The 5080-nt window shown below is 39.2% G+C and overlaps 1 annotated feature.

Annotated features, from left to right (window-relative positions):
- Positions 1946 to 2045: a silencer, noted in NCBI's record as "silent region_15726". NCBI's record gives its function as "represses an Ori minimal core promoter by ATAC-STARR-seq in GM12878 lymphoblastoid cells {active_cell/tissue: GM12878}" and the evidence as "EXISTENCE:reporter gene assay evidence [ECO:0000049][PMID:35858748]".

Below are 5080 nucleotides of genomic sequence, written 5' to 3'. Positions count from 1 at the left end.
AGAAGAGTGCAGGGCTGGAAATATGAATATGGGACTCTTTGATATATTGATGTTATGGCAGAAACTACTAGGTACTTACCAAATATTCTTTTTCCTCTTCCCCCTTAGAACTTCACATTTAGGCAGGGAGCAGTGGCTCACACCTGTAATCGCAACACTTTGGGATGCCGAGGTGGGAGGATCACGAGATCAAGAGATTGAGACCATCCTGGCCAACATGGTGAAACCCCATCTCAACTAAAAATACAAAAATCAGCTGGATGTGGTGGTGCGTGCCTGTAGTCCCAGACTTGAGAATATAAGCCACGTGCTAAGATGATGGAACAGAAAGTCAGAAGCAGCCTGAGTTTCTGATGACCTTGTGAATATGCCATATCAGCTGTGGATGGCCTCCTTCTGACTCCTAATATGGAAGAGAATGAACTATTTTGTGTCAAAGCTGCTGTAATTGGATCTTTGTTATCAGCAGTTGAGCAAAATTTCTTAGGGAACAGATGATATTTAAAGTCATGGAACTGGATGAGATCACTTGGGAAGTGAATGGAGGTAGAGGAGAGTAGAGGACCATGCCAGAGCCTATGGAATTCTAGCATGCTAATGTTCAGGAAGAGGAAGAGGATACAGAAAGAGATCAGCCATGAAGGATCAACTAAGTAACAGGACAACCAGCCTCTGTGGTGTCTTGGAAGCAAGTGAAGAAAATGTTTGCCAAATGCTGCCCATAGGCCAAATTAGAGGAGAACTGAGAAGCGGCCATTGGATTTAGCAACATGGAGGTCACTGGTTACCCTGACGAGAGCAAGTTCAGGGGCAGGTGGGGAAAAGCCTGATTTGAATAAGAAGAAGACAGAAAGTATAAGCAACTTTTTCAAGTAATTTTTGCTGCAGAGGAGGGCAGAGACACAGGGCAGTAGCTGGAGAAGTAGGCTCAAAAGAAGTTGTATTGGCTGGGCATGGTGGCTCACACCTGTAATCCAGCAGTTTGAGAGGCCGAGGTGGACAGATCACTTGAGGTCAAGAGTTCGAGACCAGGTCAACATGGCAAAACCTTGTCTTTGCTAAAAATACAAAAATTAGCTGGGCATGATGGCACGCACCTGTAGTCCCAGCTGCTTAGGAGGCTAAGGCAGGAGAATTGCTTGAACCCAGGAGGCAAAGATTGCAGTGAGCCAAGGTCACACCACTACACTCTAGTCTGGGCAACAGAGTGACACTCTGTCTCAAAAAAAAAAAAAAAAAAAAGAGTCATATTTGTTTAAGATTAGAAAAACAATAGTATATTTGATGCTTGTAGGAATGATCTAATTTAATAATGCACAAATGAGAAGGTAGAATTGGTGGTGTGATATCTTTGTTTAAGTCAAGTTGCTCCCTGAGTTTCACTCAAATAATCACTTTATTATGTTTCCATAACTACCACATAGCTAACTTTTCCTGGTTCTTTTTCATTTGTGTAATTTTTTTAAAAATCAATGCAATGAGTTAAAATGGCATAAATATAGAAAAGAATTTTAAAGAGAATGCTTGATTCTAAAAAACAATTAAATATATTCTAATTTAATCTTATTTATATTACATCATTTAGATTCTAAGTGCTTCAAATACTTAGATTCTAAGTGCTTCAAATTTCTAAGTGCTTCAAATATCTCCAATTTATTAGGAGAAAGTATAGATTGAAGAAAAAAAGAACAAAAAAGTACAGTAATTTTGTTTTTTATACATTTGTATCTAAGGATAAGAACTTTAATCTACAATGTATGAGGCATGATGTGGGGGTTATCTTTCCTGTCCATCCAGGAATTTATAACAAAAACAAATACATACGATTTTAAAATAACATTACTTGCTTCAAAAAGTGTTTAAAGTGTTAGTCAATATTAAATCAGGACAGACATGAATACAATGTGAATGTTGAGCCTTAGTGTTTATAATGTTCTATAGAAACTGGAACTGTATAAAGACCAGAGGGTGGATTCTTTAACATGATACCTATAGGCTCTCCAGGAAGGAACTATGGTGACCCCTGCTGGGAGGATGAAGCTCTCCATATAGGGCCAGGCTTAGAGTAAATGAGAAGGTCACAAATTAGAAAACTTAAGAACATGAGGATTTAACATGAGGAAGGAAAAAGAATACCAGAAAAAGTGATCATGCATGAACAGGCTGAAGTAGCTGGTCTTCAGTAAAAATCAGAGCAAGGGCAGGATGAAGAGTCATAGCATGAAAAGAAAGAACTGTAACAGACGATACACAGGATGTGTAAATTAAAATGGAGCTTTGGGTTCCAGACCCCTTTTAAAGGGGATCTTTGAATGCTGTAAGTGTTCCCAAACCCCACATAGGTCAAAACTCCCTGCTAGGAGAAGGCAATATTCTCTCAGATGTGCAAGTGGTCAATCTTCATACACAAAAACTCTTGAGAGATTCATCACAATTTCAGAGAAACATTGGGATTTTAAAAAAAGTCTGGAGAGAGAGGAGGAAATGGCAAAGGGAAAGATGAGTTTTTTCCAGGGGCCGTCAGTGTCCCTTTGCACCACAGTTTAGAAATTGCTGCTCCAAGTTATTTTAATTATTTCCTGTCTCACTTCAGACAATTATACTTAATAGATGAAGGTAAAAGTGAAGAGATAGATTAGTATCAGAAGATTAAAGCCTTATTGATAGATGAAGTTGTTAGCCCTTGGTTTATAAGCCAGAGAACTAATGGATGACTTCTAGAGGATCCACAAACCTGGGGAAAAATATACTTTTTTTGTACGTCTTCCCCAATATTTAAAACTATATTTTGGGGAGAAAAACTTTTTGTATAACATTTTATGAAAGCATTGTTTCATAATAAATAAGTAAAAAGCAGTATGCAAAATTACAGTTTGGTACATTATTGGTGTCATTGGCCTGTTATAATATTTACCAGGCCATTCTTTGACATGAATTGAAAATGAAACATGATTATGAACATCTGTTTATACCTTAATATCAGTTTAGGCTAGGATATATCACCAAAAAAAAAGAATCCCTCTTTTTTTTTTTTGAGACCGAGTCTCGCTCTGTCGCCCAGGCTGGAGTGCAGTGGCGCAATCTCAGCTCACTGCACCCGCCTCCAGGTTCAAGCGATTCTCCTGCCTCAGGCTCCCCAGTAGCTGGGACTACAGGCGCCCACCACCACGCCTGGATAATTTTTTTTTATTTTTAGTAGAGATGGGGTTTCACCGTGTTAGTTAGGATGGTCTCAATCTCCTGACCTCATGATCACCCGCCTTGGCCTCTCAAAGTGCTGGGATTACAGGCATGAGCTACCGTGCCCAGCAAAAATCTCGCTTTTTTTTTTTTTTTTTTTTTTTTTTTCTTGAGACGGAGCCTCACTCTGTCGCCCAGGTTGGAGTGCAGTGGCACAATCTCGGCTCACTGCAAGCTCCGCCTTCCGGGTTCACGCCATTCTTCTGCCTCAGCCTCCCAAGTAGCTGGGACTACAGGCGCCTGCCACCATGCCCGGCTAATTTTTTGTATTTTTAGTAGAGACGGGGTTTCACCGTGTTAGCCAGGATGGTCTCGATCTCCTTACCTCGTGATCCGTCTGCCTCGGCCTCCCAAAGTGCTGGGATTACAGGCGTGAGTCACCGCGCCTGGCCAAGAATCTCTCTTTATCTCTGTCTGCCCCCTTGGATTTTGCTTGCATTGTTGAACATATTACCTATGGAAGCAGGAACCGAACAAAGCTGAAGTGATCCCTTACATCCTGAAAATACACTGCACAGTCTGCCTCTTTTGCCTTAGTAAAAGGGTCAATTGGAAAGCATTAAAAACTTGGATTTTCTCCAACACAAAGATGTATTGTCTTGAGTCATCCTGCAAGATCGCTTGCTGCACGACTAAATAAAAGACCTTGCTGAAGCAAAATGTCCTGGAAATGGTTATTCTGATTTGTAATTTGAAGGAAAATTTAAAAAGTAAAACAATGCTTCTGTCAAATCTTCTCATCCATTCCAGAATCACTAAAATCTATTCCAATATTTTGAAGCAGATCATGAAGGAATCGCTATTTCTCTTCATCGTGAAAGTATTGACATCTGTTGGCAGAGCCAGGTCCAGTTCCCATGTTATCTGCACAAGAACAGCATCAAATGAGGATTTCTATTTTGGGAGCACTTTTAGAAAGTTCAAAGGCCTCCTATGGTGTTGAAATTGTAAAAACTTTATTGGCCAAACAAAATTTCCACTCAAAGAAACATTGATACTATGCATGCTTGGAGAACTAGCAATGAGATTCATTCCATTCTAGATTGTCTTGCATTAGTGTCAAAGGTAAATCCCAAATAAAATTTTGCTTGCAACCACAAAGTCATCAACCTATTTAGCTTCAGAGCCTTGCATTTCTGTCTTTTCAAGAAGTTTTCTTAGAAAAGCAGATTATGAAGTTTTCTTTTGCTATATGGAAATTCATCAGCTGTCTGGAAGTTAAGTCTAATAGAACTTAATTGAACTTGGGGTAAGTAACTCTTTGATAACTTCTACTTAGTCTTAAGATTGCAGATTAAACAATGTTTTCTTATTGGTTAAGTCTCCATTATTTTTTCTCACAGAACAATATACCTTTTCTCCACAGCAACTTTACATGTGTGTTTATGACTATTTGATTAATATCTGTCTTCCCCATTAGACTGAAGGCTCAATGAGGCCAGGCACTGATTCTATTTTAGCTGATCATTGTATCTCTGGCACACAGCACAATGCTGAGCACATAGTGGGTGCTCAGTAAATACTTAGAAATATATGAATGAATGAACAGAAGAACGAACAGCAAGGAAGAGATTTTTTCATAGTCTTCCAGATATATGTGGCCATTTGAACAACTAAAAAATGCAGATGCCCCTATTATAAGGTTTTATCTGAATTAAGCTAATTCCTATAATAATCCTATCAAATAGGTACTGTTTTACTCACTGATGAAGAAACAGGCAAGTCACTTGCTTAAATTACCATGGTTAGCAAGGGGGTGGAGCAAAGCTTTTAACCTTGGTAGTCTAAATTTGGAGCCCATACTCCTAACTACAGGTCTCATACTCACCATTATGGAGTT

This window comes from Homo sapiens, chromosome 4 (genome assembly GCF_000001405.40).
Source record: "Homo sapiens chromosome 4, GRCh38.p14 Primary Assembly".
Lineage (NCBI taxonomy): Eukaryota > Metazoa > Chordata > Mammalia > Primates > Hominidae > Homo > Homo sapiens.
The sequence above is the reverse complement of the archived record's forward strand: the minus strand, read 5'-3'. Positions and strand labels throughout refer to the sequence as shown.